This window comes from Homo sapiens, chromosome 22, assembly GCF_000001405.40.
Source record: "Homo sapiens chromosome 22, GRCh38.p14 Primary Assembly".
Taxonomy (NCBI): Eukaryota; Metazoa; Chordata; class Mammalia; order Primates; family Hominidae; genus Homo; species Homo sapiens.
The window spans coordinates 18133468-18149745 of NC_000022.11; the positions used below are offsets into that span (position 1 = coordinate 18133468).

Genomic DNA, 16278 nt, shown 5'->3' on the forward strand with positions numbered 1-16278 from the left:
GGACAAGGGATCCTAGAAAGAGGGTGAGAATGAAAGTGGGTGGCTCTCTACGATTCCCCAAAATAAGTAGTTTTGTAAGTCTTTCCCCAGCATGGGATTGCCTAGAGACTTAAACTTGTAAAGCAAATTTGGTGAACACTAGGGAAGAGATGGGAATCAGAAAAGAGAATTGCACAATGGCCTTTGGCAGGGAGCTTGGTTTCTCTACTGGGCTGAACAACTAGATAACCCGGTCCTGGAATCCCAGTGCAGCTCTCTTGGGACACTCTAAGTCATATTTACTTACCATGAAAAATTAATTTCATTGTTAAATATTTTACCCCAGGCATAGAAGAATCCATAGTTAACATAATGTCTAGTGAATCCTCTTTCACACTCCACCCCGATTTCTCAAATGCGTTTCTTGGCTCTCTCTCGTTTGAGAGTGTGGGTATCCACACGCACCCCCTGCTCCAGTTCCAAATTCTCAGCAAGAGCGACACACCTCCAGTCTTCTGACAGAAATCAACTTAGGTTCCAGAAATGAAGCTACCGAGGAAGAAGACAGTATGTTTATTTTCTGTGAACTTGCAGACTCTATCAGCAATTTTATCTGGCTCCAGTACTCCAAGTTTTTAAGGATCACCGGGCTGGGGCTGGGCATGGTGGCTCGCACCTGTAATTCCAGCACTTTGGGAGGCCAAGGCAAATGGATCACTTTAGTTCAGGAGTTTGGGATCAGCCTGGGTAACATGGTGAAATCTTGTCTCTATTTAAAGAAAAATAAAGTAAAAGCAGACCCCAGGGGCACTGCCTTTTCTATTAGAATGCAAATATGCTAAAGAGATTGAAAACTTCCCTTTTTGTGAGTGAGTCCAAACTAGCCACAATTTTTTTTTTTTTTTTTGAGATGGAGTGTCGCTCTGTCACCCAGGCTGGAGTGCAGTGGCGTGATCTCGGCTCACTGCAACCTCTGCCTTCCAGGTTCAAGCGAGTCTCCTGCCTCAGCCTCCCCAGTAGCTGTGATTACAGGCGTGCACCACCACAACCGGCTAATTTTTGTATTTTTAGTAGAGACAGGGTTTCACCATGTTGGCCAGGCTGGTCTCGAACCTGGCCAGACTTCAGGTGATCTGCCCACCTTGGCCTCCCAAAGAGCTGGGATTACAGGCGTGAGCCACTGTGCCCGGCCCACAATTTTTTTTAAAGTACCGTAATTAACTTTTTAAAAGGTTTTGTGGCAAATTTATGTTGTCCACTTTAGGGATGAGGAGAGTGAGAGGGTGAGTGGGGCAAAAGGAGAGGATATTGATACTGAGAGAAATGAAATTTCATAGTGTGTAGGGCAGCCTTCTTCCCTCATGCATTGGAATCCTCAAGAGTAAAGGTGAGTCCTCACATAGCCTTATCTTTTTTCATGAATATGCAGTATGGAACCTCTCATGGGACCTTCTATACACTGCATTTGGAGCTTAGAAACTAAAGCCTCAGGTGTGAGACTGCTTGTTAAGCTCATGGTCAATGAGTCAGAAGATGGTGTTACCAAGCATGCTCCATGGTCTTGCAGTGGGGGGGAAATAAAAATACAGAAAATGATTTTCCTTATAAATTGCAACACAAAAATCACTGGTAAAATGTTAATAAACAGAATCCGTACCATACTGAAAAAATATAGCACAAGCCTGGGTGACATAATGAGATCCTGTCTCTAAAAATACCAAAACCAATCAACTTAGCTGGGCGTGGTGGCACGCACCTGTGGTCCCAGCTGCTTGGGAAGCTGAGGCAGGTGGATTGCTTGAGCCCAGGAGTTTGAGGCCAGCCAGGGCAACATAGTGAGACCACAATTCTAAAAGAAAATACTACGGCACAACTAAGAAGGGTTTATTCTAGGAATTCAACCATGGTTCAATATTAGAAACTTCATCTGTTTCTCCAGATGTCTTAGCATCTTGGAGAAACACTAGAGACACTGAATAAGGTCAAGAATAAGGCGAGGATGAAGGATGCATAGTACTGCTGCTACTGTTTCAATTGCACTGGAAATATAAGCTAATGCAATTAGAGAAGGAAAAATAATTAAAAGAATAATAATTAGAAAGGGAGATGAAAAATTATCTCTATATGTAGATGATATGATGGAACATGGAAAATCCTGCAGAATTAATGGTAAGACTAATTTAAACAAAATGTAGCTTTCAGGCTGGGCGCAGCGGCTCATGCCTGTAATCCCAGCACTTTGGGAGGCTGAGGCAGGCGGATCACTTGAGGTCAGGAGTTCGACACCAGCCTGGCCGACATGGTGAAACCCCGTCTCTATCAAAAAGATAAAAAATTAGCTGGGCGTGGTGGCATATACCTGTAATCCCAGCTACTCGGGAGGCTGAGGCAGCAGAATGACTTGAACCCTGGAGGCAGAGGTTGCAGTGAGCTGAGATCGCGCCACTGCACTCCAGCCTGGGCGACAGAGCAAGATTCCATATCAAAAAAAAAAAAAAAAAAAAAGGTAGCCTTCATCTTATAAACATATAACCAGTCCAGATAGGATATAGTGGAAGAGAAAAAGAGAAAACCTCTATTAACAATAACAATGAAATAGTTAGATACTTAACAATAACAATTTAGGAAATGTTAGAAGCCTTTATGAGAAAAATTTTAAACTCAAAGACAAAGTAGATGAGCAAATTTAATGACATTCCTAGGAAATTTTTTTTTTTTTTTGTCAAGGTCTCACTCTCTCGCCCAGCCTGGAGTGCAGTGGCACAATCAGATCACTGAAGCCTTGAGCTCCTGGCCTCAAGCAATCCTCCTGCCTCATTTTCCTAAGTAGCTGGGGCTACAGGTGTCTGCCACCACACCTGGCTAAATTAAAAAAAAAAATTGGCCAGGTGCGGTGGCTCACCCCTGTAATCCCAGCACTTTGGGAGGCCGAGGCGGGCAGATCACGAGGTCAGGAGATCGAGACAATCCGGGCTAACACGGTGAAACCCCGTCTCTACTAAAAAATACAAAAAATTAGCCGGGCGTGGTGGCGGGCGCCTGTAGTCCCAGCTACTCGGGAGGCTGAGGCAGGAGAATGGCGTGAACCCGGGAGGCGGAGCTTGCAGTGAGCGGAGATCGCGCCACTGCACTCTAGCCTGGGCGACAGAGCGAGACTTGTCTCAAAAAACAAAAACAAAAACAAAAACAAAACAAAACAAAAAAAAAGAGTCACACGAACACATGTTCTGATCCACCTGAGGCAAAAGGCGCCCCTGTGGAGCCCAGCACGTCTGTGTGGGAGGAACCGCCTGGAGGAGCAGAGAGCAAAGCAAAGGGGCTTGGGGCGGAACACGACGGGAGTGGCAGGAGCAGCCAGCGGGAAGCCAGGGAGAGGGTTTGGAGATCAGCCAGTCGCGGGCAGGGGTAGGCAAAACCTGTAGGTTCCTGTGGACGCCCTGGAATTGTGCAGTTACTTCTGAGTGAGGCATGAAACCAGTGAGTTCTGAGGAGACAACTAACGCTGCAATTTAATTTCCAGTTAACCTGTGGAGCTTCAGAAGCTCTCACTCACAACTGGGATATTAACAAGGTCGGATCCGGAGGGAAGTCCCTCAGCACATAGAGCATGAAGTGTGCACCCCCCCGTGCAGCAAGTCCACGCTCGCTCAGAGATGGAGGGAAATAGGTAGGAGGAAGTCCTCACTGGGAACATTGTATGGGCTGCAACCTGGCTGCTCAAAACAAGGTTTATAACTGAAGTGTAGTTTACACAATGCTGACCTGTTGGAAGTAATGGAAGAGGTTCATATGCACACATGGATAAAATTAAATGTTTAAGTCTGAGTTTAAATCTTACAAAAAATAAAAAATAAACCAGATGAGGCCTAAAGAGGAAAAATTATTTACTTAAAAAATGCAGGCCGGGCACGGTGGCTCAAGCCTGTAATCCCAGCACTTTGGGAGGCCGAGGTGGGCAGATCACGAGGTCAGGAGATCGAGACCATCCTGGCTAACACAGTGAAACCCCGTCTCTACTAAAAATACAAAAAATTAGCCGGGCATGGTGGCGGGCGCCTGTAGTCCCAGCTACTCGGGAGGCTGAGGCAGGAGAAAGGCGTGAACCCAGGAGGCGGAGCTTGCAGTGAGCCGGGATGGTGCCACTGCACTCCAGCCTGGGCGACAGAGCGAGACTCCGTCTCAAAAAAAAAAAAAAAAAAAAAAAAAAAAAAAATGTGTAGGGACCAAGTCTTGCTAAGGGAGGAGACCACCCCTCATATTGTCTTATGCCCAATTTCTGCCTCCAAAGAAAGAAAAAGTAAAAACTAAAAGGCAGAAATGAAATCCACAAGCAGACAGCCCGGCATCACACCCTGGGCCTGGTAGTTAAAGATCGACCCCTGACCTAATCGGTTATATTATCTATAGATTACAGACATTGTATAGAAAAGCAGTGTGGAAATCCCTATCCTGTTTTGTTCCCATCTAATTACCGGTGCATGCAGCCCCCAGTCACGTACCCCCTGCTTGCTCAATCGATCAAGACCCTCTCACGCGCACCCCCGTAGAGTTGTGAGCGCTTAAAAGGTACAGGAATTGCTCACTCGGAGAGCTCTGCTCTTGAGACAGGAGTCTTGCCAATGCCCCCCGCCGAATAAACCCCTTCCTTATTTAACTCGGTGTCTGAGTTTTGTCTGCGGCTCGTCCTGCTACATTGCTATGGTTGCCCAAGTTGGTCTCCAACTCCTGGGCTCCCTCCTACCTCAGCGTCCAGTGTGAGCCACTATGCTTGCTGTTGGTTCTATTTTTTAAAAAAACAAACAGAAACAAACAAACAAAAAACACCTACTCTGCCAATCTGTCTTTTTATTATTTTATTTCTATTTGATTTCAAAATTTTTATGGATGTGGCAAATTTGTTTGCCTCAGTATCATTAAATTGTAAAAACTAGATTTACAAAAAGATATATATATTAAAAAAACCAGTGTAGTGGCTATTTTAGACTGTGGAATTATAAGTAATTTCCCCCTTTACATGTTTTATATTTTTCAGTTTTTCTACAGCGAATATATACTGCTTTATATTAAGGAAATGTTTACGTTAAGAATACTCAGTAGGCTACAGTTTCAAGATGAATTTTGTGGCCTGAAAGCTGGGGCTGTTGCTAATATTGTAAGGCCTTTGGCTTCCATTTGCTGTGAGATGTGGTACCAGTGGAAGGTTGTGAGCAGAGAAGTGACATTATCTGGCCTATGTTTATAAATACCTGCTGATTTATTTATTTAGAGATGGAGTCTCACTCTGTCACCCAGGCTGGAGTGCAGTGGAGCAATCTCAGCTCACTACAACCTTCACCTCCTGGGTTCAAGTGATTCTCCTGCCTCAGCCTCCTGAGTAGCTGGGATTACAGCCACCTGCCACGATGCCCAGCTAATTTTTGTATTTTTAGTAGAGATGGGGTTTCACCATGTTGGCCCACCTGGTCTTGAACTCTGGACCTCAAGTGATCTACACACCTCAGCCTCCCAAAGTGCTGGGATTACAGGCGTGAGCCACTGAGCCCGGCCGTATGCAGTTTTGTTATATGCATAGATTACATAGTGGTCAAGTCAGGGCTTTTAGGGTATCCATTACCCAAATAATGCGCATTGTACCCAATTAGGAATTACCTATCATATGACCCCCTCATACTCCTTCACCCTTCCAAGTCTTCATTGTCTGTCACCCCAATCTCTGTCTTCATGTGTACACATTTTTTAGCACCCACTTATGAGTGAAAACAGGTGATATTTGACTTTGTGTGCCTGGCTTGTTTCACTCACTAATCTATCTTTTTATTAGTGTATTTAGACTGTTTATATTTAATGTAATTACCTGTATATTAAGTCTTAGGTCTTCCATAGAATTTTTTTGTTATCTTTGTTTCCTCTGTTCTTGGTTTCTCTGTTTTCTTTTTCGTACTTTCCTTTGGGTTACTAGCACCTTTTTAGAATTCCATTTTGATATGTCTAGTGATTTAGTGTGTATCTCTTTGTGTAAATTATTTAATAGCTGCTCTACATATTACATTATATTGATATCTCAGTCTACTAGTGTTGACATTTTACCAGTTTGACTGAAGCATAGAAACCTTACAATTCTTTTAAGTCATTTTACCCTCTCTCACTTACAATTATCTTAATGATTCTTCTACATACTTCAATAACCATGTTAGACAATGTTAAAATTTTTGCTTGGACAAAGATACTCTCGAAAACTCAGCAGAAGAAATGTCTAGTGTATTTATCTATATTTTTACTCTTTCTGTTGTTCTGTGTTCCTCCCTGATGTTCTAAGACTTATCATTTCCTTTCTATTTCAAGAATTTCCTTTAGCCATTTTTTTAATGGTAGGTCTGCTGGTGACAAATTCTTAGTAGTTCTTCATCTGAGATTGCCCTGATATCCCTTCCATTTTTGAAGGCTGTTTTCACTGGATAATAGAATTCTCGATTGACACTGCTTTTCTTTCAGCACTTGGAAAATACTGTGTCACTTCCTTCTGGTCTCTGTGATTTCGGAGGAGAAATATGCCGTCATTTAAAAATTGCTTTTCCTGGCAGGGCGCGGTGGCTCACGCCTGTAATCCCAGCACTTTGGGAGGCCGAGGTGGGCGGATCATGAGATCAAGAGATTGAGACCATCCTGGCCAACGCAGTGAAACCCTGTCTCTACTAAAAATACAAAAATTAGCTGGGCATGGTGGTGCGCGCCTGTAGTCCCAGCTACTCTGGAGGCTGAGGGAGGAGAATCGCTTGAACTCGGGAGGCAGAGGTGGCAGTGAGCCGAGATTGCACCACTGCACTCCAGCCTGACAAAAGAGCGAGACTCCATCTCAAAAAAAAAAAAAATTGCTTTTCCCTTATAAATATGGTAGAATTTCTGTCTTGCTGTTTTTAATACTTTTTTCTTTGCCTTTAGTTTTCAGGCGTTTGATTATGATATATATATTGATATAGATTGCCTCAGACTTGTTAGGAGTTTATTCGGTTTAGGCTATGTCTTTTGCAATTTTTGGAAAATCTTGAGCCATCATATCTTTGAATATTTTTCAGCTTCATGCTTTTTTCTCTTTTTTGGGGGGACTTTGATGACATGATGTTAAATCTTTCATCACAGTCCCACAGGTTACTGAGGCTCTGCTAATTTTTTTCAGTCTATTTTCTCTCTGCAGTTAATATTGAGTAATTTCTATTATTTAATTTCAAGTCTCATGACTCTCTTCTCTGTTATCGCCACTCTTTGACCCTACCCTGTGATTTTTTTTCCTCTTTAACCTTTAGCCTGACCTGACAATGTTTTTCTTTTTTAATAAGTTTCTTTTAGTGCTATTTTTTTTTTTTTGAGACGGAGTCTTGCTCTGTCGCCCAGGCTGGAGAGCAGTGGTACTGAGAGGCAAAGCCAGCTGGGCTTCTGGGTCGGGTGGGGACTTGGAGAACTTTTCTGTCTAGCTAAAAAGGATTGTAAATGCACCAATCAGCGCTCTGTGACTAGCTAAAGGTTTGTAAACACACCAATCAGCACTCTGTAAAAACGCACCAATCGGCGCTCTGTGTCTAGCTAATCAGGTGGGGACCTGGAGAACTTTTCTGTCTAGCTAAAGGATTGTAAATGCACCAATCAGTGCTCTGTGTCTAGCTAAAGGTTTGTAAACACACCAATCAGCACTCTGTAAAAACACACCAATCAGCACTCTGTGTTAGCTAAAGGTTTGTAAAGGCACCAATCAGCACTCTGTAAAAATGGACCAATCAGCGCTCTGTAAAATGGACCAATCAGCAGGATGTGGGTGGGGCCAAATAAGGGAATAAAAGCTGGCCACCTGCGCCAGCGGGGGCAACCCGCTGGGGTACTCTTACATGCTGTGGAGGCTTTGTTCTTTTGCTCTTTGCAGTAAATCTTGCTGTTGCTCATTTTTTGGGTCTGTACTACCTTTATGAGCTGTAACACTCAGCGTGAAGGTCTGCAGCTTCACTCCTCAAGTCAGCAATACCACGAACCCCCCGGAGGAACAAACAACTCCCAACGTGCCACCTTTAAGAGCTGTAACACTCACTGCGAAGGTCTGCGACTTTACTCCTGAAGTCAGTGAGACCACGAACCCACCAGAAGGAAGAAACTCCAGGTACCTGTGAACATCTGAAGGAACAAACGCCAGACACACCAGCTTTAAGAACTGCAACACTCACTGCGAGGGTCCCAGCTTCATTCTTGAAGTCAGCGAGACCAGGAACCCACCAGAAGGAACCAATTCCAGACACAGTACAATCTCAGCTTACTGCAACCTCTGCCTCCTGGGTTCAAGCGATTCTCTTGCCTCAGCTTCCCAAGTGGCTAGGATTACAGGCATTCACCACTGTGCCCAGCTAATTTTTTTTTTTTTTGTATTTTTAGTAGAGATGGGATTTCACCATGTTGGCCAGGTTGATCTTGAACTCCTGACCTCAGGTGCTCCACCCGCCTTGGCCTCCCAAAGTGCCGGGATTATGGGCATGGGCCACTGTGCCTGCCCTGGAATCTGATTCTTGCAGAGCAGTTGTTGATTTCACTACACTTGTCAGAAATCTTCTAAGCTGGGAAGGGGGAGGGGAAAAAAAAGAATCGTCTACGCTTCTTTACAGCAAAGGAAATAACAGGGAAGGGACAACCTACAGAATGGGAAAATATTTGCGAACTTGCATCTGACAAAGGATTAGTTACCTATATATAAACTGTATAAGAACCTCAAATAACTCAATAGTAAGGAAACAATCTGATTAAAAATGGGCAAATGGGCCGGGTGTGGTGGCTCAGGCATGTAATCCCAGCACTCTGGGAGGCTGAGGCGGGCGGATCACGAGGTCAGGAGATCGATACCATCCTAGCTAACACGGTGAAACCCCATCTCTACTAAAAATACAAAAAATTAGCCGGGTGTGGTGGTGGTCGCCTGTAGTTGCAGCTACTCGGGAGGCTGAGGCAGGAGAATGGCGTGAACCAGGAGGCAGAGGTTGCAGTGAGCCGAGACGTCCCACTGCACTCCAGCCTGGGTGACAGAGCAAGACTCCATCTCAAAAACAAAACAAAACAAAAATAGGGCAAATAATCTGAAAAAGATTTTCATTTTCTCAAAAGAAGACATACTAATGGCCATCAGGTATATAAGTAAATGCTCAACATCACTAAGCATCAGAGAAATGCAACTGAAACCACATTAATAGGTATCATCTCACCTCAGTTAAAATGGCTATTATCAAAAGACAGAAAATAACAAATTTTGGGGAGGATGTGGAGAAAAGGAAACCCTCGTACACTGTTGGTGGAAATGAAAATTCGTACAACCATTGTGGAAAACAGTATGGAGGTTTCTCAAAAAATTGAAACTAGAACTACCATATGATCTAGCAATCCCACTGCTGGGTATACACCCAAAAGAAAGCAAATCAGTATATTGAAGAGATATCTGCACTCCCATGTTTACTGCAGGACTAGTCACAATAGCCAAGATATGGAATCAATCCAAGTGTCCATCAACAGATGAATGGATAAAAAACATGCTAGATAAGGCCGGGCGCGGTGGCTCACGCCTGTAATCCCAGCACTTTGGGAGGCCGAGGCAGGCGAATCATGAGGTCAGGAGATCGAGACCATCCTGGCTAACACGGTGAAAACCTGTCTCTACTAAAAATACAAAAAATTAGCCGGGCGTGGTGGCGGGTGCCTGTAGTCCCAGCTACTCGGGAGGCTGAGGCAGGAGAATGGCGTGAACCCGGGAGGCGGAGCTTGCAGTGAGCCAAGATCACGCTACTGCACTCCAGCCTGGGTGACAGAGCGAGACTTTGTCTCAAAAAAAAAAAAATGTACTACATATACACAGTGGAATACTATTTAGTCATAAAAAGAATGAAATCCCGTCGGTTGTAGCAACATGGATGAAACCAGAGGACATTACGTTAAGTGAAATAAGCTAGGCACAGAAAGATACATATCCCACCTTCTCACTCCTATGTGGGAGCTAAAAACGTTGATTTCAGGGAGGTGGAGAGTAGAATGATGACTACCAGAGGCTGGCAAGCAATAGGAGGGAGGGAAGGATGAAAAGTGTTGGTTATGGGTACAAAGATAGTTAGATAGAGGGAATGATAGTACTGTACAGTGATAATAGTTAACAATAATTTATTGTATATTTCAAAATAGCTAGAAGAGAAGATTTGGAATGTTCCCAGTACAAAGAAATAATAAACGTTTGAGGTGATGAATACCTTCATTACCCTGATTTGATCATTGCACATTGTATGCATGTATCAAAGTATCACATGTAACACATAAATATGTACAATTACTATGTATCTATAAAAATAAGAAACAAAGGAAAACAGTTGCTGTATAAACAATACTGGGATAACTGTCAAAATTTAAATATTGAATATATTATATATGGGAAAATTGTACGGATATGAAATTATCTGAATTTGGTAATAATTGCACTGGGGTTATGTATGAAAACATCTTTGATCCTATGAGGTTCATATTGAATTATTTAGAGCTGAAGAATGTCAATCTCTTCAATTTACTCTCAAGTAGTCCAGCAAAAGAAAAAAAGTGATTGTGTAAATATATACACATATATACTGTGTACTCACACATACACATAGATGTGTGTGTATGAGAGAGAAAATTAGTGAAGGAAGGCTCACTAGGTTGTTATAATATTTGTATAACTTTTCTTTATGTTTAACATTTCTTTTCTAATATAAAATATTTAATTTTGAATGGTTCTCCATTAAGGCAACAAATTGCCAGAGGATAGGGAGTGCCTGGGAAAGGTGACAGATGCCAAGTCACATTCTGTTTGAGTTGCACCCTGAAACCCATGCCAGGAAAATGAAATGTGGAGTTCTGTTTGACTGCTTCCACTCAACAGCTCCCTCTCCTCAGGAGAATGCATGTTCCCAAAACAATACTGAGAGGGAGGTTCAATGTTTAATTCATCTTAAAAATTATTTTTTATATTTGGAAGCATGCAAAACACAGTAAAATTTACAATAAAAAGCATCCTGACAAAATGCAGAGAAGAAAATAGGCAGGAGAAAGTTGTGGAAAGGGACTGAGCAGAGGTCACATGAAACCACGCGTTTGTAGAGAATGTGTTTTGTAAAGGAGTACTACTTTTTCAGACATCGGTTCTGTTTTCTTTTTTTAAAAAAAATCACTTGCTTTTTTTTTTTTGAGACAGACTCTTGCTCTGTCGCCAGACTGGAGAGCAGTGGAGCGATCTCGGTTCACTGCAACCTCCGCCTCCCAGGTTCAAGCGATTCTCCTGCCTCAGCCTCCCGAGTAGCTGGTTCTACAGGTGCACACACCACCATATCTAGCTAATTTTTGTATTTTTAGTAGAGACGAGGTTTCACTATGTTGGCCAGGATGGTCTCGATCTCTTGACCTCACGATCCACCTGCCTCGGCCTCCCAAAGTGCTGGGATTACAGGCGTGAGCCATCATGCCCGGCCACATCACTTCCCCTTATCCCATGCAACAAACCCTGTCCTTTCCCCAGGACAAAAATTCTTGTCAGTTTCTATAAATTGTTCCTCACGTTGGGCAAATAGCTTTTTTCTAAATAGCTTTCCATTTTGAGGGGAACTAGATTATCGCATTAAAGTTAGCCAACATCTTCCTCTGTGACCAGGTTTTTAGACAGAATTTTAAAGTGAGGTAGGTAGGTGTGGCCTTTTGCCTCATACTTCTTTATTTTATTTTTTTTTAAAGGGAAAAAGAGTAAGAAATTCAGATGATGAGAATTCCAGGGACACTGAAAGTATCCCAAATTGGCAGAAATACTGTGTAAACTACAGAAAATGCTTCTCAGGGCCCACACTTTCTTTTGAAACAAATATTACACAATTTCATTATAAACTCTTTCGCGCATGATTTTGAGAAATCTTTCCACCAATGCTTTCAAAAAGCACAATCTGTCTTAATAAAAAACTACTACCTGGTACTATTATTTTACATTTTAAAATTGTGAAACAGTATTAAGCCTACAGAAAAGTTGCAAGTATAGTCCAAAGAACTTCCTTCTTGAACTATTTGAGAGTCAGTTTTCCACGTGACATTGCATTTCTCCCAAATCCCCGCCTGTGAAGTTACTACCACCTAATCCTCAGACCCCATTCAAGCTTCACCCGTTGTGCCAATATTGTCCTTTACAGCCAAAGGATCCAGTTGGGGATCTCCTGTTCATCTATGACCTCTTTGGTCTCTGCCAGTCTGGAGCCGTTCCTCAAAGCTGTCTTTGATTTTCATGAATCGTTTGAAGATGGCAGACCAGCTGATCTGCAGAATGCCCCTCGATTTGGGTTGGCCAGGACCCGCGTCCTGGCGAAGGGGTTCCGGTTACTGACCTTCGATGGGAACAGCACAGAAGTGATACCGCGCTGGCTCCACTCTGTCCTCTGGTGGCACGCAATTCCAGTGTTCCCCGCACTGATGACTTTCTTGTACCGAATATTTACATTAATTACATTCTTTATAGTTATAATGTAATATTACATATGAGACCATGGGGTTCATCTGATTAGGTCTGCCCAATTTAGCCTGCCCTGCTTGCTTTGGGTCACTTGCTTTTGTTATTTTTTTTCTGTGAAGCTGAAGGCCGCGCCACTGAGCGCTGTAACTTAACCTTGCCGGCTTCCTTACAGATAACATGTATGTCACTACTGTCATGATCGTTCAAATTGTTTTTCAGGAACTTGGGGCAGCTCCTGCCTAGTTCAAACCAGTTGAGACCGTGAGCTTTCAAGTAGGCTTGTGCAAACAAAAGAAGTGGCCTTTTGACATCAGAGGCCCCAAGCGACACCCTCAGATCACGCTAAGGCTGTCATTTTTTGAACATGTGCCCTGTGAAGTGCCACGAACCCTGACTATGCTTGCAGTGGTCACCGACTGCCTCATTTTCCCCCACTGCCAATCACCTTTGCCCATACCTTACACCACCCTGCTTCTCTCACCGGTAAATATCCCTAAGACTTATCTTTGGGGAGGAAGATTTGAGAGCTGTTCTCCTGCCTCCTCACTGGGCTGCCTTGCGAATAAATCTTTTCTCTTTTACAAAACCTGTCACAGTGATGGATTTATGGCATGCGGGCAGAATGAACCTGTATCACATGTATGTAATAATGGTAATTAATAATATGTATTTTGTGGGAGAGTACTTTGAAACTGTGTAAATATCCTGTTTCTCATCAAACTTTTAATTTATTCAGTATCTACTTTTATTGGTATGAAGTGTGGCTTCCCATTTTATTTAACAGGTCGAAATGTTACTATCATCATTTCAGGCCAGGCGCGGTGGCTCATGCCTGTAATCCCAGCACTTTGGGAGGCCGAGGCAGGAGGATCACAAGGTCAGGAGATCGAGACCATCCTGGCTAACACGGTGAAACCCCGTCTCTACTAAAAATACAAAAAATTAGCTGGGCGTGGTGGCGGGTGCCTGTAGTCCCAGCTACTCGGGAGGCTGAGGCAGGAGAATGGTGTGAACCCAGGAGGCGGAGCTTGCAGTGAGCCAAGATAGTGCCACTGCACTCCAGCCTGGGCAACAGAGCGAGACTCCGTCTCAAAAACAAAAACAAAACAAAACAAATCATCATTTCTTTTAATGCTCAAGTTGTTCCAAATTTGGCCAGTGGGAGCATGGTCTTGGAGCTGGCTTCTGCATCGTTTTGAAACATCCCCATCATTCTTGGAGCATTCCCTTACTTGCTGGCAGAACAAGATGTCCTAGGCTCATCTTGTACTTTCTCTGCCTTAACCCCAGAAACAGCCATTTCTCCAAGCAACATTGGTTCCTTTTACTAGAGAATGGGAATTAGAAACCAAGATCTGGGTGCAAGATGTACTGTTGGGGTGTCACTGTTCCCAGGCCCCCTACAGACCAAGTCAGGGGATGTATGCATGTATACACATGTTTACCTCCACATGTACTTCTTTTTTTTTTTTTTTTTTTTTTTTTTTTTGGATAGGGGATCTCGCTGTGTCGCCAGGCTGGAGTGCAATGATGCAATCTTGGCTCACTGCAACCTCTGCCTCCCGGGTTCAAATGATTATCCTGCCTCAGCCTTCCGAGTAGCTGGGACTACAGGCGTGTGCCACCACACCCAGCTAATTTTTTGTATTTTTAGTAAAGACGGGGTTTCACCGTGTTAGCCACGGTGGTCTCAATCTCCTGACCTCGTGATCCACCCGCCTTGTACTTCTTTATCTATCTGTGTATACATACTGAAAATCATGGATCCACACTGCTAAGTCCAATTCCAGTTCAACACTAGTGGGCTCATTCTCCCTTTCCTTATTTGTAACTCCTATCTCTGAGAGTTTCAACTCTGGCTCCAATTATCCTTAATACATTCAGTTACCTGGTCATCCCCCTGTATGTAACTAATCTGTCATCTCCACCAGCACCCTGCCCTCCCTGGACACCACACACTGGGCCACTCCAATACCGGGATGTGCCACATCTTCAAATTGCTTGGGCTGTGACCCTGGGCCGGGCTGCACCAGCACCCATTTGTGTCTGACATTGTGCTGGGCAGCCCCACTGTGCTGCCACCCTCCTCAACCTGCTCCAGTCCAGCACCCTGCTTGGGCCACTGTGGAACATACTACACAAACGCCCACTTTGCTTGACACACCTGATGGCCTTAGCACGGAATTGTTCAGGAGGGTACCATGAAGGACGGAAGGAAGAGCCCCATAGAAGTGTAATGGATCCTTACATTATATAGTCCAGCCTCCAACCCAAGGTTCACCCTTGTCCATTCTGCACTGGGGCAGCAACACCAATTACTTTGCTCCACCGACCTACCAAGATTCAGATAGAATCATTGGATTGACTATTAATAGTTTTCTGCTGATAGTTGCTGCAAGCAACTGCAGCTTGCTCCTTAGCCTTCTACTGACTTGCTGTATTTAGCATATTTTATCAAATTTTGCAACCTCCTCTCCTCATTGCCCTCACTTGAGTTTTTGAGGTTCCTGTTTGTGGACAAGACTTACCAGATGTATGAAGCTGGTTATATAACTGATTGGTCAGCAAATATAATGAGGACGGACCCTGCGCCCACCACCGTGTACCTGTGTAAACACCATACTGCGCAAAGTCCACCAGCCTTCCAGGGAGAACATGCTGCACTGTGGGCGACACTGCCTCCGTTCCAGCAGCAATGTAAGCGGAGTCTGGGCTGACGATGGACGTGTGGATAGCCTGTATGTGTATATCTGTGCTCATGCTTCTAACACACATCCACCCTATTATGGACACGTTTATACATCTTCATGCCATGGTATTTTGTACCTTACTGCAGACCCTACCAACGCTTCAGTGAGGTTCTGGCAGCTTTGGGTTTTTGGAGGCTATTTGTCTGTTGCTGCGGGGACGGCTTTCAGAAAGAATGATCGCTTTGGGGGAATTGTACCCTGCTTTCCTGCGCAAATTCCAGCGGCTGGAGTTTGAGGCCCCTAGCAGATAACCCTTCTGCCCCTACCCCCATGAGTCTACATACAAGAAATACATCTCTAAAGAGGTAATAAGCCTTTCCGGTGTGCATGTTACAGATCTCTTAACCTTATATATACACAGATGGTCCATCACTTACCGTGGTTTCACTTACGATGTTTCGACTTCATGATGGGTTCACTGGGACTTGACCCCATTTTTTTTTTTTTTTTTTAGACGGAGTCTTGCTCTTGTCGATCTCTGCTCACTGCAACCTCCGCTTCTTGGGTTCAAGTTATTCTCCTGCCTCAGCCTCTTAAGTAGCTGGGATTAAGCGCCACCACGCCGAGCTAATTTTTGTACTTTTAGTAGAGATGGGGTTTCACTATGTTGGTCAGGCTGGTCTCGAACTCCTGACCTCAGGTGATCCGCCTGCCTCAGCATCCCAAAGTGCTGGGATTACAGGTGTGAGCCACCGCGCCCCCTGACCCCTTCTTAAGTGGAGAAATATCTGTATCTGCATGCCCACAGGGGAGCTCCTAATTACACCATGTGCCGCATCCAAGCCACAGGCCGGTGATGTGAAGACACCCGATCCAAGAAATACAATAGCATTAAGAAAGAAAAAATGCTGCCATGGATACTACCAAACGCCAAATGACTCTAACACGTAGGCTAATTGCAAGGACCTTAAAATCGCAAATAAAAAGGCGCCTGTAGGTCGGGCGCGGTGGCCCACACCTGTAATCCCAGCACTTTAGGAGGCGGGCGGATCACCTGAGACCAGCCTGGCCAGCATGGCGGAA

At 44.1% G+C, this 16278-nt stretch overlaps 1 long non-coding RNA gene across 1 annotated transcript; it reads right to left on the bottom strand.

Annotated features, from left to right (window-relative positions):
* Nucleotides 10136-15747, bottom strand: LOC124905076 (uncharacterized). Its single transcript, XR_007067999.1, has 2 exons — nt 15633-15747; nt 10136-12473 (listed from the first exon to the last, which is right to left on the bottom strand). It is a non-coding gene; the product is annotated as an uncharacterized LOC124905076 (long non-coding RNA).
* Between the last annotated feature and the right edge of the window lie 531 nt (nt 15748-16278).